The sequence below is a fragment of the Homo sapiens genome, chromosome 16, assembly GCF_000001405.40.
Source record: "Homo sapiens chromosome 16, GRCh38.p14 Primary Assembly".
NCBI classification, from domain to species: Eukaryota; Metazoa; Chordata; class Mammalia; order Primates; family Hominidae; genus Homo; species Homo sapiens.
In genome coordinates, this window is record NC_000016.10 from 89575640 (window position 1) to 89601776 (window position 26137).

Here is a 26137-nt window from a genome sequence, read left to right on the forward strand (position 1 = left end):
CTCCGAGGGGCACCCCTGCCTCTGCCCCCTGCCCTCATTTCCCGCCGCGCCCCTCCCCGGCCCCGCCCCCCGGCCGCGCCCCACCCCCTGCAGTCCCCGCGCGGCGGCCGCCCGAGCCACGTGCGCCCGCGCCCGGCAGGCGTTCAGGGAAGCGCGGCCACGCCTGGGCCGGCCACCATTTCCCGGGCGCCGCGGCGGCGCCGACTCGCGGGCAGCGGCCCCTCAGTGCGCCCAGCCGGGCCCCCGAACGCCGGGAGCATGAGCGCGGGCTCGGAGCGCGGGGCGGCGGCAACCCCCGGGGGTTTGCCCGCGCCCTGCGCCTCGAAGGTGGAGCTGCGGCTCAGCTGCCGGCACCTGCTGGACCGCGACCCGCTCACCAAGTCCGACCCCAGCGTGGCGTTGCTGCAGCAGGCGCAGGGCCAGTGGGTGCAGGTAGGGCCGGGGCGTGGGAGGCCGAGAGGCCACCGGGCCGGGGCTGGCGCCGAGCTGGGGATGCGGAGACCAGAGCGGGCGCGCTGAGGCCAGTGGGGCGCAAGGCGGGGCCCCCCGGAGCTGGGGCTCAGCTCGGGGTCAGGGTTGGGGGTTACCAGGTCTGGGGGTGGGGTGTCCAGAGCTGTGGGGAGAGGCTGGGCTGGAGGAGGTGGCGGCGAGCGGGGTTCGGAGGAGAGAGGGGGGTGCCCCGCAGTGAGGGGTGCGGCCCAGGGTTCGGGGAGGGGGCCCCGGGCCAGAGTGAAGCGCCCAGGCATGAGGCGCGGGCAGGGGGCTCGACCAAGAGGCGCAAGGAGATTGAGGGGTGAGGGGCGCCGGCCGACGGGGGGCGGGAGGCTGGGCGGGAGCAGGCCGGCGAGGGAGCGCGCGCTGGGGTGCGGACCTCCAGGCGTCCGGGGCTCCCGCTCCAACGTGGGTCTCAAGCGAACCCGCTGTGATCGCGGTTGGGGTCCGAAGGGGCACGGGGCCGGCGCCAGACGGGCGCTTCCTCGGTCACCATCTCGCGTGAAACGCGTGGCTTCACCTCGAAAGGGCGAGAAACGCATGGCGCGAAGCCGCAGCGGGCGGAGGAGCCGGAACTCGAACCCCAGTCCGCGCGGGGCGCCAGCGCTTTTCCCCGGCGCAGGGGTCTCTCCAGGCTCCAGCGCGGGCCCGGGCGGCTGCTCGGGCGGTGGAAGGGACGCGGTCACCCGGTGGCGTCTCCGGTCATCCACCTTGAGGGTGAAGGGCCTGCCCCGCCCTCACCGCCTGTCCCCAGGGTTCCGGCTGCCCCCGGAGGCCCCGTGCCCGCCCCTCACAGCCTGAGCCCACCCTTCACATCCCGAGCCCACCATCCCCACGGAGGCCTCGTGCCCGCACCCTCAGAGCGTGAGCTGTACGGGTGGCCCATGTTTGCCCTTGGTTTGAGGTGCAGGATTTTTCAGGATTCTGAAATGAGTAGCCTACTGGCCCAGCTGGGTCTTGTCCTTACGGGGCAGTTGGACCAGGGAACTGCATGGGATGGGAGAGGCTGGTGAGCCCATGGTACCCCAGCCAGGAGGGAGGGCCCCCCTGTACCCTACGCCCCCTCCCCACTCAGCTGGTGCTGGGGAGCGGCCTGCACTTTAGGGCTGCCCAGCCCAGGGTGTGAATCTGATCTCGCCCCCGACTCAGCGTGTCATTCTCGTCCTCTGTGAGCCTCACTTTCCCCATCTGTGATCTGAGGGTGGAGCAGACAGTGGTGGCCAGGGGTGACCCCCAGGGTGGCCCTCGGGATTGTGGTCCCATGGACAGAGAGCAGGCAGGAGGTCTTCCCAGGGTATGAGTCCTCCTGAGGTACCTGGGCGTGGGTGAGCGGCAGAGGGGAGATGGAGGTCTGGAGCCCGGGGTGGAAGCCTCTGGAGTGGGGTCGGCTCACAGGTGCACTTGCAGGTGGGCAGAACCGAGGTGGTCCGGAGCAGCCTGCATCCCGTGTTCTCCAAGGTCTTCACGGTGGACTACTACTTCGAGGAGGTGCAGAGGCTGCGCTTTGAGGTGTACGACACGCATGGGCCCAGCGGCTTCAGCTGTCAGGAGGACGATTTCCTGGGGGGCATGGAGTGCACCCTGGGGCAGGTGGGTGCCCCGTCCCCTCGGAGGGAGGAGGACGGTTGGCGTGGGGGCCACAGCCGATTCAAGGCTGATGTACCAGCACCGCAGGGACCCTGCTGGGGTGGCCAACCTGGCTCTGCCCCCTCCTCAGCTCCTCCTGAACAGTCATTATTAGATTAAAATATACATGTAATTTTGAACTGGGTAATACATTCGTATGTTTTAAAGCCTGAAGGTATAAAAGGCTGTGGAGCGCCTCCATCCTGCCCCATCCAGCTGCTGCCAGGTCCCTGGACATTGTCCAGAGAGAGATTTTCACAGGAGCAAACCAGCCTATCACTTTTCCTCTTTTTTCTTTTTTTTCTTTTTCTTTTTTTTTTTTTTTGAGATGTAGTCTCGCTCTGTCACCCAGGCTGGAGTGCAGTGGCGTGATCTCGGCTCACTGCAACCTCCACCTCCTGGGTTCAAGCGATTCTCCTGCCTCAGCCTCCTGAGTAGCTGGGATTACAGGCACCCGCCACCACGCCCGGCTAATTTTTGTATTTTCAGTAGAGACGGGGTTTCACCATGTTGGTCAGGCTGCTCTTGAAATCCTGACCTCGTGATCCGCCTGCCTTGTCCTCCCAAAGTGCTGGGATTACAGGCGTGAGCCACGGTGCCCAGCCCACTTTTCCTCTTTTTTCAAAAATACACAAATTACGTTCCCTGTTCTGCATCCTGCGTTTTCACTTCCACGACGTGCAGCAGCCCCTCCATATCAGCACCTAAAAGTCTCCTGGTGGCCGGCCGTGGTGGCTCACACCTGTGATCCCAGCACTGTGGGAGGCCGAGGCGGGCAGATCACTTGAGGTCAGGAGTTCGAGACCAGCCTGGCCAACATGCTGAAACCTCATCTCTACAAAAAGTACAATAATTAGCCGGGCATGGTGGCATGTGCCTGTAATCCCAGCTACTCTGGAGGCTGAGGCAGGAGAATCGGTTGAACCCGGGAGGCAGAGGTTGCAGTGAGTGGAGATCTCACCACTGCACTCCAGCCTGAGTGACAGATTGAGACTCTGTCTCAAAAAAAAAAAAAAAAAAAGAAGCCTCCTTGTGAGCAGCAGGTCCTACGGTGGCCACTGCTTCCTTGGTGATGCTCTCTGGGTTACGGCCTCCACAGCCAGCCCAAAAGTGGCTTCTGCAAGTCGTGATGAGAGTGTCTGTTGATGTGCTGGGCCCTGCTGGACACTGCGCTAAGCACTTCCTGTGCTGCACGGAATCCTCACACCTTGCCAGGACGGGTCCTTCTTTTTTATTGAGGTAAAATTTACAGGCCGGGCACGGTGGCTCACGCCTGTAATCGCAGCACTTTGGAAGTCCGAGGTGGGGGGATCACGAGGTCAGGAGTTCGAGACCAGCCTGGCCAACATGATGAAACCCCATCTCTACTAAAAATAGAAAAGAAATTAGCCAGGCGTGGTGGTGCGTGCCTGTAGTCCCAGCTACTGGGGAGGCTGAGGCAGGAGAATCACTTGAACCTGGGAGGCAGAGGTTTCAGCGAGCCGAGATCGCGCCACTGCACACCAGCCCAGGTGACAGTGAGTCTTTGTCTCAAAAAAAAAAAAAAATTTTACGATAAAATGCATCAATCTTAAGGGTTGAGAATGACAAGTTTAGGTGACTGTACACAGCTGACCATCACCCGTCACACAGAACATCCCGTCACACGGAACATCTCACCTGTCACACAGAACATCCCTTCACCCCTCACACGGAACATCCTGTCACCTGCTGACACGGAACATCCGATCACCCGTCACACGGAACATCCCATCACACAGAACATCCCATCACTTGTCACATCTCACCCATGACACGGAACATCCCGTCAGCCATCACATCTCACCCGTCACACAGAACATCCCTTCACCCATCACACGGAACATCCCATCACCCATCACATCTCACCCGTCACATGGAACATCCCTTCACCCATCACATGGAACATCCCGTCATCTGCTCACATGGAACATCCCATCACCCATCACACGGAACATCCCATCACCCATCACACAGAACATCTCACCCATCACACGGAACATCCCGTCACCCGCTGACACGGAACATCTCACCCGTCACACGGAACATCCCACACCCATCACACGGAACATCTCACCCATCACACGGAACATCCCGTCACCTGCTGACACGGAACATCTCACCCATCACACGGAACATCCCGTCACCCGCTGACACAGAACATCTCACCCGTCACATGGAACATCCCGTCACCCGTCACACGGAACATCCCATCACACGGAACATCTCACCCATCACACGGAACATCCTGTCACCCGCTGACACGGAACATCTCACCCGTCACACGGAACATCCCATCACCTGCAGACACGGAACATCTCACCCATCACACAGAACATCCCGTCACCCGCTGACACAGAACATCTCACCCGTCACACGGAACATCCCGTCACCCGCTGACACAGAACATCTCACCCGTCACACGGAACATCCCGTCACCCGCTGACACGGAACATCTCCCCCATCACACGGAACATCCCATCACCTGCAGACACAGAACATCTCACCCATCACACGGAACATCCCGTCACCCGCTGACACAGAACATCTCACCCGTCACACGGAACATCCCATCACCCGTCACACGGAACATCCCATCACCCGTCACATGGAACATCCCATCACCCGTCACACGGAACATCCCATCACCCATCACACAGAACATCTCACCCATCACACGGAACATCTCACCCATCACACGGAACATCCCGTCACCCGCTGACACAGAACATCTCACCCGTCACACGGAACATCCCATCACCCGTCACATGGAACATCCCATCACCCATCACACGGAACATCTCACCCATCACACGGAACATCCCGTCACCCGCTGACACGGAACATCTCACCTGTCACACGGAACATCCCATCACCCGTCACATGGAACATCCCATCACCCATCACACGGAACATCTCACCTGTCACACGGAACATCCCGTCACCCGCTGACACAGAACATCTCACCCATCACACGGAACATCCCATCACCCGCTGACACAGAACATCTCACCCGTCACACGGAACATCCCGTCACCTGTAACACGGAACATCCCGTCACCCATCACACGGAACATCCCATCACCCGTCACACGGAACATGCCATCACCCGTCACACGGAACATCCCATCACCCGTCACATGGAACATCTCACCCATCACACGGAACATCCCGTCACCCGCTGACATGGAACATCTCACCCATCACACGGAACATCCCATCACCTGTCACACGGAACATCCCGTCACCCGTCACACGGAACATCCCGTAACCCATCACATGGAACATCCCGTCACCTGTCACACGGAACATCCCATCACCCGTCACATGGAACATCTCACCAATCACACAGAACATCTCACCCATCACATGGAACATCCCGTCACCCGTCACACGGAACATTCCGTCTCCCGCTGACACGGAATATCTGATCACCCATCACATGGAACATCCCATCACCCACTCACACGGAACATCCGATCACCCGTCACACGGAACATCCTGTCACCAGTCACACAGAACATCCCGTCACCCATCACACGGAACATCCCATCACCCGTCACACGGAACATCCCGTCACCCATCACACGGAACATCCCGTCACCCGCAGCTGCCCCTGCCCCTTTGTGGCCAGCTCCCCGCCTGGTTCGTCTCTTCTGGAATTCCACGTCCATGAATCACAGCGCGTGTTCTCCCTGCTGTGGAATTCTTTTACCCAACATAATGTCTGCGTGACTCATCCCCCTGCAGCCTCGGTCGGAGCTGGCGTGCCATCGATCCTGTTGTCCTCCCCATTTTTTAGATAAGGAAACTGAGAGTTAGGGAGGGCACAGATGGAAGAGGATGGCACGGACACAGAAATATGGACATGCTTTTTTTGTTTTTTTGAGTTGGGTTCTCACTCTGCCGCCCAGGCTGGAGTGCAGTGGGACAGTCACAGCTCACTGCAGCCTCAACGGCCTGTGCTCAAGCAATCCTCTCACCTCAGCCTCCTGAGTAGCTGGGACTACAGGTGTACGCCACCAGACCTGGCTACGTTTTGCATTTTTTGAAGAGACAGGGGTCTCACCATGTTGCCCCAACTGGTCTTGAACTCCCGGGCTCACCGATCCACCCACCCTGGGCTCCCAAAATGTTGGGATTATAGGCATGAGCCACTGTGTCTGGCCTGGACACCTTTCTATGTACACACAGGTGCACATGTATGTCATAATCCGTGCAGGACATCCTATGCCTGTTCACATAAGCACACACACAGGGTCCGTGTGGACACCTGCGTGCAGATATGAATGTGTGTGTGAGCACGTGTGCTGTGGATATGTGCAAACTTCCAGCAATGAGGAGGCCCCTCGTGGGTTCCTGCTCTGTGGCCACCCAGCTGACCTGCAGGGCACCACGGTCAAGGGAGAAGCTACTGGCATCCAGTCCCTGTGCTGTGGCTTTGAGCCTGACCTGACCTCTGACCCCTGACTTCTGCCTCAACTGTTTCCTCATGTGATTCAAGTAAACAGTAACTCAGCCCAGAGCCAGGGATCCAGGAAGTGCTTATTAAACGCTGTTGGCACAAATCAGCGATCTCGTATTTCCTGGTAGGGGAATCTGTTGTGTTAGCCTGAGCCCGTTTCTCTCCTAAGGACCTGCTCTCCTGCCAGAAAGGGGAGGCCACTCCTTTCCTGCGCCCTCCCTGGAAGCAAACCAGGCCGGCAGGCGAGTCCCAGGTGTGAGGCAGAGGCCCTGGCTCAGGAGCCCCAGAAGGAAACCTTTGAATCAGGGAATCTTGGGGGGCCTGGCCCGAGGCTCCCCCTCCCAGCACCCAGGACCCCTTTGCACCCCTAAGAGAGCCTTCCCACCCCTTAACCTGACTTGACTTCCCCAGCCCTGACCTGGGATCTGCTTTCTCTTCTGTGTGGAAAGTGCCGCATGCTCAGAAGCTGCTGGCCAGGCCGGCCCTGGTTGGGGGTGGAGGGACTGCCCCTCTCTGCTTTGTATTCAACCTACCTCATTGTGACCTCCCAGCATCCGCCAGGCAGTAGCAGGTGTGAGGGCAGGTGGGAAGCACACACCTGCTACCTGGTGGGCCATTCGATGGTTGCTGAGATCACTTACGTGTGAGGAGATGACGGCCACCCCGCTTGGCCGGGGTCATCACCATCTCCTTTCGGACACGGAGCCTGGGAGGGCCGTGTGCCCCCGTCCTGCTCCTCACTGAGGAGATGACCTGGCTGCAGGGGCCTGGGCCTGTCATCCGCCACCCACCCCAGGTGGGCTCATAGCCGATGGGGCGGAAGTCCAGCAGGGCCTGGTGAGGAGGAGGAGGCCCCGGCTGCATGAGGAGGTCCCCAGGGTCTAAGCCCCAGTCCACTTCGAACAATCAACTCTGCTCCTTGGCACCTTCGAAGAGGAGTGGGCGGTGGGGTCCTGGGCCGGCACCTCGCTCACACCCTTTCTGCCGCCCGTGGCTACGTGGACATGCTGGGCGTGAGGGTCCGGGGCCGTTTGAGCTGCCTCGCCTCTGCTTCTGCGGGTTCTCACCTGGGCCTGGAGAGGGTCAGGGCAGCCCTGCTTACCTGTGGAGGGGCGTCCGCCACACCTGTGCAGGTGCAGGCCAGCTGGGCTGTGAGCTGCTTCCTGGCTTCCACCTGAGCCTGTTTCCTCACCTGGTAAATAGGTATGATGACCTCTGCCTCCCCTGGGCGACTGCTGGCGCCGTGAGGTGGTGGACGTGCAGGGGTGGCCACACGCAGGGATGGCAGGTGCTTGAGAGCAGCCACAAAGGGGGCGCGGGCCCTGGGCAGTGAAGCTCATGGTGGGGGATGGGGAGACAGGACAGGCCTGAGAGTCCGGGTGAGGGCGCGGTGGGGTCTCCAGGGTCAGGAGCCGTCCCCGCCTGCCCCTCCCTGCCTGACGCCTCTGACTTACAGATTGTGGCCCAGAAGAAGGTGACCCGCCCGCTGCTGCTCAAGTTTGGCAGGAACGCTGGCAAGTCCACCATCACGGTGAGACCCGGGCGCACCCCTGCAGCCTGCAGGCCCTGCTGCTGTGGCTCCGAGGGGTGTTGTGGGCGGAAGATGGGCAGCAGCGTGCCGTCCAGGGAGGGTCTGCAGGAGCCGGCAGCTACACAGCCCCGGGGGTACACAGACACCTCCTCTCAGGCCCCGCTGGGTGGGGTCAGCCAGCCTGGGGCCTCTGGTCCCCCACGGTGGGGTCAGGCCCCACCTGGCCAAGCCTGGAGCCCGGGCGTCCCCCTGCCAGGTGATCGCCGAGGACATCTCGGGGAACAACGGCTACGTGGAGCTCTCCTTCCGGGCCAGGAAGCTGGACGACAAGGTGAGTGCAGGTGCCGGGCACGCCTGGCTCAGGCTGAGGTCCGGGAACCGGTTCGAAAACCCGGTCCCTGCCCAGCGCTGACCTCGCGTGGCTATGTCCCGTGTGAGACGTGTGCGGAGTGTGCCTGGGGCTGGGCGTGCTGCCGTCACGGTCGCCATCATCACTGTCACCGCCATTAGCTCTCCCGCCCCTCCTGGCAGCTGGGCTGGGGCTGGGGCAGCTCCCTCCTGTGGGGACCACTCATGACCCTGCTCAGGGATGGGGAAATAGGCCCAGCACCCCCGAGGCCACTGTCGTGACAGGAGGAACTGGAACAGCGCGCGGTTCTGCGGGCTCGTCACGTGGGTGGGCAGAACAGGGTCCAACCCCGCCATGTAGGGCGTCTCCCTGGAGGGGCTGAGTCGCAGGGTGTGTAGGGCAAGTCCGTGGAGGGCTGAGTCGCAGGGTGTGCAGGGTGACTCCATGGAGGGCTGAGTTGCCCGCCGTGGTCAGATCCCTGGGGGCGGGAGGGAGGGACGAGATGCTGTCGGCGGGGACTGGCTGCCTCGTTTTGTGCCTGAGGAATTAGCGGCTGGTGGCATGAAGTGAGCCCTGGGAAACGACAAAGCCAGCTCCCATCCAAAGCCCGATCTCACAGTGCCTGGCCCAGCAGCCCTTGTGCCTCTCCCCAGGACCTCTTCAGCAAGTCCGACCCCTTCCTGGAGCTCTACAGGGTCAACGACGACCAGGGCTTGCAGCTGGTGTACAGGACGGAGGTGAGCGGCCGGGGATGGGAACACAGGGAGGGGAAGGGGCTGTCCCCAGCCCTCACGCATCTCTGGCCACATGGGAGGAGCTCCCAGCCTCCAACAGGGAGCTGTGGGCGCAGGGCTTTGGTGGCTGTGGCTATGGCCAGAATCCAACAGGGAGCCGCAGGCGCAGGGCCCTGGGGGCCGTGGCTGTGGCCAGAATCCAGCAGGCTTGTGTAGTCGTGGCTGTGATTATTTTTAGACCTACCTTCCACTTCCTGCAGGTGAAATGGGATTTCAGCGACGGCAGGGAGAGAGTGCTTTCTTTTGAGAGAAATTAACTTGAGTGAAAATGAATCTATTTAAGGAAGAGAGCAGCGCAGGTGGCTCAGAGGTGGCAGAAGTTACGAAGGTGGAGGCACAGGGCTCGGAAATGTGTCTCCCGGGTCCTCACATGGCTTCGTGCAGGGAGTGGGTGCCAGCCCCAGCTCAGGGCCCCGGCGCTGTCTGGGGTGATGCAGGGGCAGGGCCAGCTGTGCCCGCCTCACAGCTGCTCTTCCACCCAGGTCTCTATCCCCCCCAAGGATCCCAGGGCCCTGGGCCTCCCCTGAGCCAGCCCCTCCCGGCCCACAGGTGGTGAAGAACAACCTGAACCCGGTGTGGGAGGCCTTCAAAGTCTCTCTGAGTTCCCTCTGCAGCTGCGAGGAGACAAGGCCTCTAAAGGTGGGGGACGGGATGGACCAAGGGGGCAGTGAGGGGGTGGCCTGGATGTGGGCTGCGATGGAGACACCTGGGCTCGGGTGGGAGGGTCCTGGGGCCCCCAGACAGCAGTGCTGAGGAGGACTGGGCTCCCCAGTGCCTGGTCTGGGATTACGACTCTCGAGGAAAGCACGACTTCATCGGAGAATTCTCTACCACCTTCGAGGAGATGCAGAAGGCCTTTGAGGAGGGGCAGGTGAGCAGGACGGGGTAGGGGGTCCTCCAGGGAGGGTCAGGTGGGGGTGGAGGGGGGCCTTCGGGGAGGGGTAGGTGAGCAGGACTGGGGGGGTACCTCCAGGAAGTGTCAGGTGAGGAGGTGGGGGGTGGGGTAGGGGCCTCCGTGGAGGGGCATGTGGGTGGGCACCTCTGGGGAGGAGCAGGTTGGGGGGGCCTTTGGGGAGGTTCAGGTGAGGGGGGCCTCCAGGGAGGGGCAGTTAGCAGGGGGAGGGGGCATTCAGGGAGGGGCAGGTGAGGGGGGCCTCTGGGGAGGGGCAGGTGAGTCGGGGGCACACCTGGGCTACGCCTGTGTTGGCCCTGCCACAGAGGCTGTGAAACCCTGTCCCACTGTCCTGATGGGGTTGTGGGGAGTGGTGACAATGACTTGTTATAACCAGAGAAGGCTGAGGATGGTGGACCCTGGTGCTGGCTCCTGAGGGGTCATAGCAGGGGTGGCCCCCATCAGGTTCAGCTGGACATTTCAGGCACCATCTGGGTCTGGGCACAGGGGTGGTGGGAGGTGGGGCCAAGGGGTGCCCTCCCCTGTGTCTGCCCAGCCCACAGCAGCCGGGTGAGGGTGCAGTGGGGAGGCCACCCTGGGCCCTGCTTCCTCCCCCGTCCCTGGGCCTCAGTGTCCTTGGGCTTAATGACAGGGCCATGCCGGGTGGGGGATGCAACTCCCATCCCTCTTCATTCCCGTATGACCCACTCTGCCCCTTCCTGCTGCCCTGCAGCAGTGCCCTCCCCTCCCCTCCCCACCACGGGGCCCTCTGCCGTCGCTATTGGGGATGGTCTTGGGTAGGGTCTCCCTGGTAGGTGTTCAGAGCCACCACTCTGGGGGGCCTCTGCTTGTTCCTGCCCCAGGCCCAGTGGGACTGTGTGAACCCCAAATACAAGCAGAAGAGACGCAGTTATAAGAACTCAGGAGTGGTCGTCCTGGCTGACCTCAAGGTGAGAGGTGGCTGTGCCCGAAGCCTCCCCACCCACAAGAGGGGCTTCCGCTGCCTCCCTCTGATTGTTGGATGGACCCTCAACCAGAGGCCTGGTGGGCCCCAGCACGTCTGGGGAGGGGCTGAGAGACGGGGAAGGGCGAGGTTGGGGAGAGAGGATGGGGGAGAGGAGAGGAGGGTGGCACCCCAGAGGGACTGGGCTGCCTGCGGGAGGCAGGCCTGGATCCCAGCTGGCACTGGCCTCAGTGTCCCTGGCGGGGGTGGACGCTGACTCCGCCGGCCGGAAGTTCCACAGGGTGTACTCCTTCCTGGACTATATCATGGGCGGCTGCCAGATCCACTTCACCGTGAGTCCATGGCCCCGCCCCATGCCGCCCCCTCAGTCCGTGGCCCCGCCCCGCCCCGCCCCCTCAGTCCGTGGCCCCGCCCCTCCCCGCCCCCTCAGTCTGTGGCCCCGCCCATCCCCGCCCCCTCAGTCCGTGGCCCCGCCCCTCCCGCCCCCTCAGTCTGTGGCCCCGCCCATCCCCGCCCCCTCAGTCTGTGGCCCCGCCCATCCCCGCCCCCTCAGTCCGTGGCCCCGCCCCCGCCCCCGCCCCCGCCCCGCTCCCGAGGGGTCCCAGCCTGGCGGGTGAAAGGGCACTGGCGGTTCCCCGTGAGCCGATGTCTCCATGCGCGGCTCCTGGGGGTCCTCCCTTTTGCGCAGGCGAGGAAACGGGCTTGGGGTTCAGGAAGCAGCCCCAAGCCCGCCTTGGGAGGTGACATCACCAGGGCTTACCTTCCACAAACACATTTAACAACAGACAAAACGTGAACGAGGAGAAACTGGAGTGAGCGTTTGAGTGAACCAGCCACAGTCTCTACGTGTCATCCAAGGAGCCCGGCACAGACCCCGTGTCACCCCCATGTCACCCGCAGACCCCGCGTCACCCATAGATACGCACACCCCGTGTCACCCCCATAGCACCCCCGTGTCACCCACAGATACACGGCCCCCGTGTCACCCGCGTGTCACCCACAGAAACACGGCCCCCGTGTCACCCACAGATACACGGCCCCCCGTGTCACCCGCGTGTCACCCACAGATACACGGCCCCCGTGTTACCCACAGATACACGGCCCCCCGTGTCACCCGCGTGTCACCCACAGATACACGGCCCCCGTGTCACCCGCGTGTCACCCACAGATACACGGCCCCCCGTGTTACCCACAGATACACGGCCCCCGTGTCACCCACAGATACACGGCCCCCCGTGTTACCCACAGATACACGGCCCCCCGTGTCACCCGCGTGTCACCCACAGATACACGGCCCCCCGTGTTACCCACAGATACACGGCCCCCGTGTCACCCACAGATACACGGCCCCCGTGTCACCCGCGTGTCACCCACAGATACACGGCCCCCGTGTCACCCGCGTGTCACCCACAGATACACGGCCCCCGTGTCACCCGCGTGTCACCCACAGATACACGGCCCCCGTGTCACCCGCGTGTTATTTGCAGATGCGCTGGTTCGTGTTTTGTTGAACGAGCCCCAGAATGGCTTTGGGAGAAGCCAGCAAGTGGGAAACGTGGGGGGACCCAGACCAGGCTTGGTCCACTTAGGCCCTGCCGGGGAGGGTGGTAGAGGGGTTGGGCGGCCACTAAGAAGGATGGGCGGGGCCCCCACAAGGCCAGGGTGATCCTGGTGGGGTGTCCTCCCGGAGATCCAGGGAGCCTAGGGGCTGGCAGGTTTTGAGGAGACCTCTCCTGGCCCTGTGTAGCAGGTGGGTCAGCCCCAACAGCAGCCCCCCAGCCCTACCCACCTACGCGACCCCTGACCCTGAGTCCTGGCCACTCTGGGCGTGGTTTCTCTACCTGTCAGGAGCGGGTTCGGGGAGCCCCGGCCCAGCACAGCTCCTGGCTCCCGGCCCACTGCAGGTGGCCATTGACTTCACCGCCTCCAATGGAGACCCGCGGAACAGCTGCTCCCTGCACTACATCAACCCCTACCAGCCGAACGAGTACCTGAAGGCACTGGTGTCCGTGGGCGAGATCTGCCAGGACTATGACAGGTGCGCCCACCACCTTCCCCTCACCCCCTGGTCTCCAGGTCAGCTATGACAGGTGCGCCTGGCCGTCTTCCCCCTCACCCCCCTGGTCTCCAGGTCAGCTATGACAGGTGCACCCGGCCGGTTTTCCCTCACCCCCCTGGGCTCCAGGTCAGGCCTCGGGGCACCATGAGGTGGGCACTGTGAGTTTGTCAGACTGTGAGGGGCCGGGCGCGGTAGCTCATGCCTGTAATCCCAGCATTTTGGGAGGCCGAGGCGGGTGGATCACCTGAGGTCAGGAGTTTGAGACCAGCCTGGCCAACATGGTGAAACCCCATCTCTACTGAAAATACAAAAATTAGCTGGGCGTGGTGGCAGATGCCTGTAATCCCAGCTACTCAGGAGGCTGAGGCAGGAGAATCACTGGAACCCGGGAGGCGGAGGTTACAGTGAGTCAAGATCACACCTTTGTACTCAAGCCTGGGTGACAGAGCAAGACTCCGTCTCAAAAAAAAGAGACTCTGCGAGGAAGGGCTGGGTAGCCCTACTGGAGGCTGCCGCATAGACTCTGCACATGGTCCTGGGGGGACGTCTGTGTCCCGCTTTGCCAGAATAGCAAACCGAAGTCACAGAGGCTTGGGGCTCACCCGCGTATGCTTTACCAGGGAGGGCCCGGCACAAAACCCTGTGCTCTGAGCTTCTTACCACAACACAGACCCCTGGCCTGGGGCTTGGGAGAGGATGCCCTGAGCTCCCTACCCTACAGACCTCTCTTTCTGGGTTGGTGAGGGCCACAGTGGGTTCCTTGGCCCCACAGGACCCCTCCCGTGGTCTGAGAGCCCCCGGGGAGGCGTCTGCAGGGGGACAGCATGTACACAAACGTGGAGTTGGGAGGCAGGCTCGCGGGCGGCAGGACCGTGTCCCCTTGCACACAGGCCTGTGCCTCTGCTGCCCTGAGCCTCGGTTCCCCACCTCTGGCAGGTGCTTACTGCCGTGGTACCAGGCCTGGGCACCCCCAGTCTTTTGGGCGCCAGTCATGTCTCCCTAGAAGTGGCCCCTGTTGCAGCCACAAGAGGTCAGGGCCTCCTGGTGACCTCCTGCCTCTCTTCCAGTGACAAGAGGTTTTCCGCTTTGGGGTTTGGAGCCCGGATCCCTCCCAAGTATGAGGTAGGAGAGCCCAGAACCTGAGACCTCAGAGCTGTGCCCTTCTCGTGCCCTCCCAGGCAGAGGACGGCCTGGCCCAGGGAGCCCTGGCTGCCTGCTGGGAACCGGAGACTGTAGGATGGGATTGGGGTGCAAAGCGGGAACCCCAGCCTTCTAGCCAGAGAGGCTGGCCTTTGGCCTCCTAGGACTTGTTAGCTTGAGGGGTGTCTGGAGGCCAACTCCGTGTTCCTTCAGGAGATAGGGAAGGACGTTAGTGTGGAATCCTCTATTGCACATAACAATTCAGCTAGCTTCGGCCAGGCGTGGTGGCTCACGCCTGTAATCCCAGCACTTTGGGAGGCCGAGGCGGGCCGATTACCTGAGGTCAGGAGTTCCAGACCAGCCTGGCCATCATGGTGAAACCCCATCTCTACCAAAAATACAAAAATTAGCTGGGCGTGGTGGCACATGCTTGTAATCCCAGCTACTCGGGAGGCTGAAGCAAGAGAATTGCTTGAACCCGGGAGGCAGAGGTTGCACTGAGCTGAGATCGCACCACTGCAGTCCAGCCTGGCCTGTAGAGCAAGACTCTGTTTTAAAAAAGAAAAAAGAAAACAACAAAAAACTTCAACTGGCTTCAGCAGAAAAAATGGTGTGTGGGGATTTATTGGCTAATGTAAGCCTCAGGCACTGCTGGATCCAGGGAGGTCTGCCTCCCTCTCTGTTTCATGACTCTGCAGAACATGGTCACCCATGGGTTTGGCTTCCCCTAGAAACTCCAAGCCTACCTCTCTCAGTAGGTGGGGGACATGGGGGCCAGGTCGGGGGAGCAGCTGACTGGGGGACATGGGGGCCGGGGACGGGGGGAGCAGCTGACTGGGGGACATGGGGGCCGGGGACGGGGGGAGCAGCTGACCGAGCCCTCTTTAGTAGGCGGGGGACATGAGGGCGGGGACGGGGGGAGCAGCTGACTGGGGGACATGGGGGCTGGGGACGGGGGGAGCAGCTGACCGAGGGACATGGGGCCAGTGGGGTGTGTTGCAACGAGCAGCTGACTGAGCCCTCTTGTTCCCACCCAGGTGTCCCATGACTTTGCCATCAATTTCAACCCTGAGGACGATGAGTGTGAAGGTAGGAGCTCGAGGCAGGCCTGGGGAGGGGAGTGCAGGGGGGCCGGGCTCACCCCCTGCCCCCCACAGGCATCCAGGGCGTGGTGGAGGCCTACCAGAACTGCCTGCCCAGGGTCCAGCTCTACGGCCCCACCAACGTGGCGCCCATCATCTCCAAGGTGGCACGCGTGGCGGCGGCCGAGGAGAGCACCGGGAAAGCCTCTGTAGGTGCCCGGGGGGTGTGGTGCATGCTTGGTGTGGGGTCGGCTGTGTGTGCACCAGCGCGTGGACGTCAGGGAGGCACCTGGCAGAGGGAACAGCCAGCGCAGAGGCCCCCAGGCAGGACAGAGCTCAGGAGGGCGGGGGCCCAGCTGGTTGACTACGTCTCCCTCAAAGGTGCAGGTGTCTCGGGCACAGGGCTGTCCATCGCCTCACACGGTCACGGCCATGGCTGCAGCGAGGCTGCCCCTCTCCTCTTCCTCTGGGCACCACAAGGCCGCGCACATGTCTACTGTTTGGCTGTGTGTGTATCGTCATTTTGTTTACATGTGTCTTTCCTTTGCACAAATGATACGGTGCCGAGAACTGCACTGGATTCTACTCTGCCACCGTGTGGCCCTGTATGTGTCTCTGGGGCCACAGCCAGCCTGCTGCTTTCTTTTCTTTTCTTTTGTTTTTTGTGAGACAGAGTCTCACTCTGTCACCCAGGCTGGAGTGCAGTGATGTGATCCCAGCTCACTGCAACCTCTGCTTCCCGGGGTTCACGCCATTCTCCTGCCTCAGCCTCCCAAGGAGCTGGGACTACAGGCGCCCGCCACCACTTCTGGCTAATTTTTGTATTTTTAGTAGAGACGGGGTTTCACCCTGTTGGCCAAGCTGGTCTCAAACTCCTGACCTCATGATCCACCCGCCTCGGCCTCCCAAAGTGCTGGGATTACAGGCGTGAGCCACCGTGCCCGGCATTCTTTTTTTTGTTGTTTTTTTTTTTTGAGACGGAGTCTCGCTCTGTCACCCAGGCTGGAAGTGTAGTGGCGCAATCTCCGCTCACTGCAACCTCCCCCTCCCAGGTTCGCGCCATTCTCCTGCCTCAGCCTCCTAAGTAGCTGGGACTACAGGCGCCCACCATCATGCCCGGCTAATTTTTTTTTTTTGTATTTTTAGTAGAGACGGGGTTTCACCGTGTTAGCGAGGATGGTCTCGATCTCCTGACCTCGTGATCCACCCGCCTCGGCCTCCCAAAGTGCTGGGATTACAGGTGTGAGCCGCCGCGCCCGGCCCAAAATAATTTTAAACTCACCAAAAAGTTACAAGAGCTCTGAGGTCCTGCAACCCGTGAGGCCAACAGCTGCTCACACATTGCGCTCCTGCTTCACGTCTGTGTAGTTGTTGTATTTGTATGTTTTCTTTTTCAATTTTTTTTTTTTTTTTTGAGATAGAGTCCTGCTCTGTCACCCAAGCTGTAGTGGTGCAATCTCGGCTCACTGCAAGCTCCACCCTCCGAGTTCAAGCAATTCTCCTGCCTCAGCCTCCCGAGTAGCTGGGATTACAGGCTCCCGCCACCACGCCCGGCTAATTTTTTGTATTTTTAGTAGAGACGGGGTTTCACAGTCTTGGCCAGGCTGGTCTTAAACTCCTGACCTTGTGATCCACCCGCCTCGGCCTCCCAAAGTGCTGGGATTACAGGAGTGAGCCACCGCGCCCAGCCCAAATTTTTTTTATTGTGATAAAATATGCACAGTTTAAAATTTACCATTGTAACCATTTTTTTCTTTTCTTTTTTTTTTTTTTTTTTTGAGATGGAGTTTTACTCTTGTCACCCAGGCTGGAGTGCAGTGACGTGATCTCGGCTCACTGCAAGCTCCGCCTCCCGGGTTCACGCCATTCTCCTGACTCAGCCTCCTGAGTAGCTGGGAGTACAGGCGCCCGCCACCATACCCGGCTAATTTTTATATTTTTGTAGAGATGGGGTTTCACTGTCTTGGCCAGGCTGGTCTCAAACTCCTGACCTCAAGTGATCTGCCTGCCTCAGCCTCCCAAAGTGCTGGGATGGGATTACAGGTGTGAGCCGCCGCACCTGGCCTGTAACCATTTTATTGTATCCAGTTCAGAGGCACGAGGTACATTCATGATGATCAAACATCACCCGTCTACTTACATCTTCAAGCCAAATGGGAACCCTATATCTGTTTGCATCTATTTTTAATTTATACAGATAGTATCGTGATAAAGACTTTGATGCTTTTTAAAAAACTTGGCACTGCACACACACATTTGTGAACCGTCCGAGAGCACGTTGCAACATCACGGTTTTACCTCTTAATATTTTTTTTTTTTTGAGATGGAGTCTCGCTCTTCACCCAGGCTGGAGTGCAGTGGCGCGATCTTGGTTCACTGCAAGCTCCGCCTCCCGGGTTCACGCCATTCTCCTGCCTCAGCCTCCCAAATAGCTGGGACTACAGGCGCCCGCCACCACGCCCGGCTAATTTTTTGTATTTTTAGTAGAGACGGGGTTTCACTGTGTTAGCCAGGATGGTCTCGATCTCCTGACCTCGTGATCCGCCCACCTCGGCCTCCCAAAGTGCTGGGATTACAGGCGTGAGCCACCGCGCCCGGCCTACCTCTTACTATTTCAGTGTATATTTCCTAAGATCAAAGATATTCTCTTGTATAACCATAGCACAAATACAGATTTCAGGAAATTGAATTTAGATACAATCCTTTTATCTAATACATAGACTATATTCCAATTTCATTCATTGGCACAATCATAACTTTCAAAGCAGTATTGTTCCTGGCCCAGGAGCCAGTCCGGAGTCGAGGATTGCGTTCAGCTGTTATGTTCCTGTGTGGCTGGGAAGCGGGTCTCAGACGGTTTCATCTGTAAATGTCAGTATCAGCGTCTAATAAAGATAAGCCTCTTTTTAAGCAGCCACGACACCTGATCACACCTAACCACCACTCCTGGCATTGCACATCCGTCTGGTGTTTGTGTTTCCTGTTGTCTTACCCGTGACATGGTTTTCTGTGGTTAGAATTGGGTTGAAACGAGGACTCAGACATGATCAGCTGAGCCCTCGGTCCCTCTCCTGGACACGAAGCTCCCGCCCTAGTGGGGCCCCACGGTGGGTTTTGGTGCCTGGTGCTCGCACAGTTGGCAGAGGGGGGTGGGGGCCTCATCTGGGGTTGGGAGGGGGTGGGGGGCTTTCTGAGGCTGGGCTGTTTATCTGGAGGCCGAGAGCCAGGCTGGGCACAGCCGTGGGTGCTTGTAGGCCTGGACCAGAGACTGCCTTGCAAACAGGTAATTCTTCCCACAGGTGTGGGGCTCAGAGAGGGGGAGATGGGGAGGGCACAAAAAGAGAGCCTCTTGGAGAAGGCGACTCTGAGTGGGGTCCTGGGGCCCCTGTTCGTTTCCAGGACACATCTGCCCTCAGTGGGACGGGCTCAGTCAAGGCCAGCCCAGGGGAGGCTGCTGTGGGCTCCCGCTCTGCTGCTCAGGCGAGCCCTGCTTCTCTTTATGTTTCCCGTTGTCCACAGTTTGGGCAAGATTATTGAGTGGGGTTTTTTTTAAACAATGGAAGTTGATTTTATTTGAAGTTCCATTCTGCCTTTTTTTTTTTTTTTTTTTTTTTTTTTTTGGAGACAGTCTCACTCTATCGCCAGGCTGAAGTGCAATGGCGCGATCTCAGCTCACTGCACCCTCTGCCTCCCAAGTTCAAGCGATTCTCATGCCTCAGCCTCCCGAATAGCTGGGATTACAGGCGCCCACCACCACGCCCAGCTAGTTTTTGTATTTTTAGTAGAGATGGGGTTTCACCATTTTGGCCAGGCTGGTCTCGAACTCCTGACCTCAGGTGATCCGCCCGCCTCGGCCTCCCAAAGTGCTGAGATTACAGGCGTGAACCACCGCGTCCGGCCAACACTCAGTCTTGTGGCAGCACAGCGGGCACCCTGGAGAGACTGGAGCAGGGTGTGTGGGCTGCAGGTCTGGCTCCTGGGATCGCAGATTTCTCCTCTGGCCTCAGACCTCCCATCCAGGCACTGTGAGCTCATCAGTAAAATGTAGACTTCGTAGCACCCCCTCCACAGCCCTCCGTGAGACTCGTGGAGATTTCCTGAGCTGGGCACAGGAGGCCCAGAGTGCCCGCCACGGAGGGGGCTCCTGACCCACTGTTGTTCGTGATGTTTGTGATGTAGGCATCACACTCTGAAGGCGGTTCTAGGAAGCTCTGACGCACGGAGGCACTCTGGGCTGTCTGGGGGCCCGTGGGTTGCAGGGCGCATGTGGGCCATGGCAGGTGTGGTGTTGCTGATGCCTTTCCTGTGCCCCCAGCAATACTACATCCTGCTGATCCTGACGGACGGCGTGGTGACCGACATGGCCGACACACGGGAGGCCATTGTGCGTGCCTCACGCCTGCCCATGTCCATCATCATCGTGGGCGTGGGCAACGCCGACTTCACCGACATGCAGGTCCTGGACGGCGACGACGGCGTCCTGCGCTCCCCACGGGGTGAGCCCGCGCTCCGGGACATCGTACAGTTCGTGCCCTTCCGGGAGCTCAAGAACGTGAGTGTCCTGGAGGGGCTCCGTCAAGGCCGGCTTGGGGGTCCCTGTTCATGTCACTGCCCAAGACCTTCCCAGGCCAGGCTCACGCCAGTGGATGTGGCAGGTCCCTTCTTGTGTCTGGGGGATCCTGGGCTGTTCCCCCCAGTCAAGAGCAGTATCTGAAGCCAGGACTTTGAGCACCTGAAACACCCTCCACCGTTTTGAAACTTGTCGAATCTACACAAAAGCAGAGAACAGCACAAGGGGCTCCTGGGATCCACCACGCGGCTTCCCCCGTTGCTGCCAACCTCTGCGACCCGGCGAGACACGCACAGCACACACGTGAGGTTCTACCCGCCGAGACACACACAGCACACACGTGAGGTTCTACCCGGTGAGACGCACAGCACACACGTGAGGTTCTACCAGGCAAGACACACATGTCACACATGAGGCCCTACAGCAAGACGTGCATGCCACATAGATGTGAAGTTCTACACAGCAAGACACCACAGACATGCATGAAGACACGGACACGTGACATTCTACGCAGTGAAACATGCATATTACAGACACATGAAGCTCTGCAGTGAGTCACATCACACAGACACGCTCAGGCTTTGCCGGGGAAGTGTGGGTGGGGCCTGGACCATGGAGGTGGCCTCGCCTCCCGTGTCAGCACTTTTCATCTCCGTGCTTGGGGGGCTGGAAAGACCCACGTGCAGCCTCATGTGGCCGACATCCTCAGCAAGTCTTGCCCGGCACCCAGGTGAGCCTCTGGTGGGGGTGGGTAGTCACCACTCGGCTCTGGAGGATGAGGCCTGGGCCATAATCCAGTTGCAGGGACGGATGATCTCCATCTCGAAGGTCCCAGAGGTAACTGCGTTGTCCCATCCTCCAGGCATCCCCTGCGGCGCTGGCCAAGTGCGTGCTGGCCGAGGTCCCGAAGCAGGTGGTGGAGTACTACAGCCACAGAGGCCTGCCCCCGAGAAGCCTGGGTGTCCCTGCCGGAGAGGCCAGCCCAGGCTGCACACCGTGAAGATGTGGAGGGCGTAGGGTGGGGGCAGTGAGGAATGGGTCCGTACAGCCTCTGTCTGCAACATGCTTGGGGTCCCTTAAGCTCCCTCCGACCTCCCAGAAGCCTCCAGTCCCCACCAGGCCCCACTCCCAGTCCTCCTGGGATCCTGCTGGCTTGGGCCCGGCTCTGGGGCCCCCAAGGCCGAAGGGTGACAAAATACAGGCCCCCATGCCTGGCCCTGCCTGAGCCAGGTGGGTGGAGGGAGGGAGATCATGAGGGACTTGGAGGGAGCTGGGAGTTCATCCACGGGAGACCCTGCCCCGATGAGAAGGGGCAGGGACTGGGGGCTCTGCTTTGCGTCTAACCTTTGTGGGGGAGGGCCAGCAAGGCAGTCCCCCCACGCCCGAGAAAGCCTGGGGGACCCAGACACCTGTCCCCACAGTCAAAGCCTGGGGACCCAGACATCCTGTCCCCACAGTCAGCCTCCTGTCCCTGCTGGTGCCCCCACACCCACCTACCCTGTGCTTTTTGCCGTCGGGCCTCTGCACCTGGGTCCATGGGGTCTGCGGGGTCTGCGGGGTCTGCCTGGCCTGTGGGTTCTGCCGGTGGGGCTTCAGGAGTAATAAAGTGTCACCCTATCCTTGTAGTTCTCTTGTGCCTTCAGTCCCTTCCCCAACCCCCCAGAGGGCTGGGCCTGGCTTCCAAAGTGCCCACATCTGAGGCAGGGGCTCTCCCAGGCCCAGCACACCAGGATCCTCCCTGGACTGAATGGGATGCGGGATGCACAGGCTGCCAGGGGCAGAGAGCGGGGATCCGCACCATGGCTGCCTCCACCCGCGAAGGAGCTCCACTCGGCTTCCTGGGACTCCCAGGCCTGAAACCCAGTGAGTGAGGACTGTGGACGTGATGCAGGGGTGCCAGGAGCCTCCCACATGGCCTGCACCGCAGGGAGCTGGGCTGGAGGGTGAAGCCTCCATGTGATGTTCGTGGAGCCGGGGCATCTCCCACCTGCTGGGACCTCCTCGCCCTGAGTTTGAGATTTCCCCTGAATGATCTTGCCTGAGAAAAACAAATTGTCCTAACCCTGAATCCAGGCCCACCCATCCCCACATCGGTCCATCCACCCACCCATCCGTCCACCCATCGCCCTGCCCACCCATCCGTCCACCCATCCCCCCGCCCACCCATCCGTCCACCCATCCCCCCGCCCACCCATCTGTCCACCCATCCCCCCGCCCACCCATCTGTCCACCCATCCGTCCATCCATCCCCCCACCCACCCATCTGTCCACCCATCCATCCACCCATCCGTCCACCCACCCATCCGTCCATCCATCCCCCACCCATCCGTCCACCCATCTGTCCACCTATCTGTCCACCCATCCGTCCACCCATCCGTCCACCCATCCCCCCACCCACCCGTCCGTCCATCCATCCCCCCACCCACCCATCCATCCACCCATCCCCCCACCCACCCATCCGTCCACCCATCCGTCCACCCATCCCCCCACCCATCCGTCCACCCATCCATCCACTCACCCATCCGTCCACTCACCCATCCGTCCACCCATTCCCCCGCCCACCCATCCATCCACCCATCTGTCCACCCGTCCATCCATCCACCCATCCGCCCACCCATCCCCCCGCCCATCCCCCCGCCCACCCATCCGTCCACCCATCCGCCCACCCGTCCGTCCACCCATCCGTCCACCCATCCCCCCACCCACCCATCTGTCCATCCATCCACTCTGGGGCCTATTTTTAGCTCTTGCTTCGTCCTCTGTTAAGCAGGGATCATGGGTATCGCCATGGTAACCTGGCCAGTCTGTGAATTTCAGAAGGATCAATGTTGGTCTCTTTGGGGATGGACAGGCCCAGAGATCACCCCTCCATCCACATCTGAGGCTTCAGGCCCTGAGCCGGTCGGGGGGCCTCAGGGGCTGGCCAGGCAGAGGGTGCGTGTCAGGGCCCTGTGCAGGTGTGGGGGGGTCTCAGGCTGGACAGAGGGTGAGTATCCGGGCCTTGTGCAGATCGGAGGTCTCAGGGGCTGGGCAGAGGGTGCGTGTCAGGGCCCTGTGCAGGTGTGGGGGGGTCTCAGGCTGGACAGAGGGTGAGTATCCGGGCCTTGTGCAGATCGGAGGTCTCAGGGGCTGGGCAGAGGGTGCGTGTCAGGGCCCTGTGCAGGTGTGGGGGGGTCTCAGGCTGGACAGAGGGTGAGTATCCGGGCCTTGTGCAGATCGGAGGTCTCAGGGGCTGGGCAGAGGGTGCGTGTCAGGGCCCTGTGCAGGTGTGGGGGGGTCTCAGGCTGGACAGAGGGTGAGTATCCGGGCCTTGTGCAGATCGGAGGTCTCAGGGGCTGGGCAGAGGGTGCGTGTCAGGGCCCTGTGCTGATCGGGGGTCTCGGGCTGGACAGAGGGTGTCAGGGCCCTGTGCAGGTGTGGGGGGGTCTCAGGCTGGACAGAGGGTGAGTATCAGGGCCCTGTGCTGATCGGGGGTCTCAGGGGCTGGGCAGAGGGTGCGTGTCAGGGCCCTGTGCTGATCGGGGGTCTCGGGCTGGACAGAGGGTGTCAGGGCCCTGTGCAGGTGTGGGGGGGTCTCAGGCTGGACAGAGGGTGAGTATCAGGGCCCTGTGCTGATCGGGGGTCTCGGGGGCTGGGCAGAGGTTGCGTGTCAGGGCCCTGTGCAGGTCAGGGGGTCTCGGGCTGGACAGAGAGTGAGTATCCGGGCCCTGTGCTGATTGGGGGTCTCAGGGGCTGGGCAGAGGGTGAGTATCGGGGCTGGGGCCCTGAGCGGGTCGGGGGTCTCAGGGGCTGGGACAGAGGGTGAGTGTTGGTGCCCTGTGCCACCTGCCTGTGGTTTTTGGGCCAGAAAGTGTCAGACGGTTTCTGGGCTGACTCAAAGTCGAGAGGTGTTGGTCCATTGAGATCTTAGCAGGAAGCAGGTGTGCCGAGGAGTCTACCTCAGAACAGGGTTGGGGCGGCCACAGTGGGGCGCCAGGGAGCTGACCTCAGACAGACAGGGATGGGCAGGTCACTCGGTGAGCTGGCGCCCTGGAGGGAGTGTGTCCCTTCCCAGAACTGCTGCCTTACAGGGATGTGGCCACTCCCAGACCCCTATGGAGCAAGCAGGGAGTGGCTGTGAGCACCCCAGCCCCCTCCTCCCACCCTCTCTTCTCCTGCCGTCCTCCCATGGCAGAAGGCAGCAGCCCTGGGGTCAGGCCAGTGGGCAGGCTGGGCCACCCTGGTCTCTGTGCTGCTGGGTGTCTGGGGTGTGTTTGAGACCATCGAGGGACAGCAGGGACAGGATGGCGTCTGCCAGCTCAGCTCTGAGAATGTGACTTTCGCCAGCAATTCCCAGCCTGAGAAAGCAGCCCAACGTTGCTCAGAGACGCACGCAATAATAATTTGACTTCTCCCCCTAACCCCGTGGGTCACTGGGATGAACACAGGATCCAGGCCTGGCCAGGCAGGGGCTGCTGCCTCCTGGCCACAGTGCTTGCTCCAGGGATGGACGTGCCCCAAGCTGGCCCGTGAGACTCAGTTCTGGGACCCCTTGTTTCTTCCTGGCTTGAGGAGCTGTGGACAGTGACCACTTAGCGGGGTCACATGGGCAGGGCCTGCCTGGGAAGGACACTACCCAGAGAGCTGGTGGCAGGTGCATGCTCAGGCCTGCTCCTGTCAGGCCTGCTCCTGAGCCGATACTTCCCATTGAGGAGCCATGAGCTCCCTTTCTGATTAGCTCAGGTGGGACTGGGTTTCTGTCATTTGCCACCCAAGGATCCTGCCCCAAAAGGATGACAGATGCTCCTTTTTCACAGACAAGAAAATCAGGGTTCAGCACAGTGAGGTGCCCTGCCCAAGGTCACACAGCCAGTCAGAAGCAGAGGTGCTAGCTTTGTGTAGCTGGTGTGCACACACACACAGAGCAACATGTATACACCTGTGCACACACACGCGCACCCACACATCCATGCACACACATGCACCCACACGCACCCACACATCCACGCACGCACACGTGCACCCACGCATCCATGCACAGACATGTGCATACATGCCTAACACATCCACACGGACACGTGCTTAGCCGGGACCTGCAGGCTCCAGGCTGAGTCCTAGGAATTGAGATGCTAGTTCTGCAGTTCCTGTAGGTCCACCTGTCAGGCATCTTCCTCCCCGGGGTGTGACATCCGGCTCTGAAACCCAGAGGGGCCCCTAGGGCAGGGCAGTCAGGGGTCCTGCCGGCCGGTGTGGAGACCCCCAGGTGAGACCAATGGGTTCCCTGAGTCTTCAGCCCCTCCTGACCTCGAATTAGAGCCTGACCCTTGCTGAGAATAGCCTGGGTATGACCTGCCTGGATGTGGACTTATTTCCCAAATAAGAAGCAGAAAGTGTGTAGCTGCCAGGACCCCACAGCAAGGGCCACCATGGGACCCAGTCCAGGGACTGCCTGCAGCAGGCGGAGGAGCTCCTCCTCGGGGGTGGATTTGAGATTTGGAAACAGCCTCAGTCAAGCTGGACACCAGCTCCCGCTGTGTGACCCTGGACAAGCCATCACAGTCTCAGTGAGTCAGAGCCTTGTTCCTTGCCTGTCACGCGGATATAGCAGCTTTGAAACATGGCTCTAGACTCCTCAGCCCCTTCCATTGGAAGTTGGTTTATGTTCCTTCTTCTTGAACCTAGGAAGACTTCGGTCCAATGTGGCTTATTTTTGTTTGTTTTTGAGATGGAGTCTCGCTCTGTCACCCGGGCTGGAGTGCAGCGGTGGGATCTCAGCTCACTGCAACCTCCGCCTCCCGGGTTCAAGTGATTCTCCTGCCTCAGCCTCCCAAGTAGCTGGGATTACAGGCGCGTGCCACCACACCTGGCTAATTTTTGTATTTTTTTTTTTTTTTTTGAGACGGAGTCTGGCTCTGTCGACCAGGCTGGAGTGCAGTGGTGCGATCTTGGCTCACTGCAAGCTCCGCCTCCCAGGTTCATGCCATTCTCCTGCCTCAGCCTCCCGAGTAGCTGGGACTACAGGCGCCCGCCACTATGCCCGGCTAATTTTTTGTATTTTTAGTAGAAACAGGGTTTCACCGTGTTAGCCAGGATGGTCTCGATCTCCTGACCTCGTGATCCACCCGCCTCAGCCTCCCAAAATGCTGGGATTACAGGCGTGAGCCACCGCACCCGGC

General features: G+C 60.7%; 1 protein-coding gene across 13 annotated transcripts, besides 1 other annotated feature; it reads left to right on the forward strand.

Moving 5' to 3' along the window:
• The first annotated feature begins 118 nt into the window (after positions 1 to 118).
• Positions 119 to 21607, forward strand: CPNE7 (copine 7). Of its 13 annotated transcripts, XM_017023138.3 has the most exons (18): positions 119 to 432; positions 1900 to 2082; positions 3218 to 3357; positions 7805 to 7889; positions 8058 to 8132; positions 8389 to 8463; positions 9135 to 9218; positions 9825 to 9914; positions 10048 to 10146; positions 11031 to 11117; positions 11404 to 11463; positions 13036 to 13169; positions 14258 to 14312; positions 15368 to 15419; positions 15488 to 15621; positions 19728 to 19964; positions 20192 to 20285; positions 20845 to 21607. In XM_017023138.3, exons 1-18 carry the CDS (start codon positions 259 to 261, stop codon positions 20997 to 20999), a joined length of 2013 nt encoding a protein of 670 aa, XP_016878627.1. In that variant the 5' UTR covers positions 119 to 258; the 3' UTR covers positions 21000 to 21607. The 13 variants fall into 13 exon arrangements, with proteins under 13 accessions (XP_016878627.1, XP_016878628.1, NP_055242.1 ...); XM_017023139.3 differs by lacking the exon at positions 20192 to 20285 and having other exon boundaries at positions 1888 to 2082; NM_014427.5 differs by lacking the exon at positions 20192 to 20285.
• Positions 23895 to 24808: an enhancer, noted in NCBI's record as "H3K27ac-H3K4me1 hESC enhancer chr16:89665942-89666855 (GRCh37/hg19 assembly coordinates)". NCBI's record gives its function as "activates a minimal SCP1, AML or CMV promoter by ChIP-STARR-seq in naive H9 embryonic stem cells {active_cell/tissue: H9 hESC(naive)}" and the evidence as "EXISTENCE:reporter gene assay evidence [ECO:0000049][PMID:30033119]".

Bases quoted from the DNA above. Each gene is read 5' to 3' on its own strand.
- CPNE7 (XM_017023138.3), top strand. From the start codon at position 259: ATGAGCGCGGGCTCGGAGCGCGGGGCGGCGGCAACCCCCGGGGGTTTG. The intron at 9,915-10,047 runs GTGGGGGACGGG...TGGGCTCCCCAG, and splicing joins AGGAGACAAGGCCTCTAAAG to TGCCTGGTCTGGGATTACGA. The intron at 11,118-11,403 runs GTGAGAGGTGGC...GCCGGCCGGAAG, and splicing joins TCGTCCTGGCTGACCTCAAG to TTCCACAGGGTGTACTCCTT.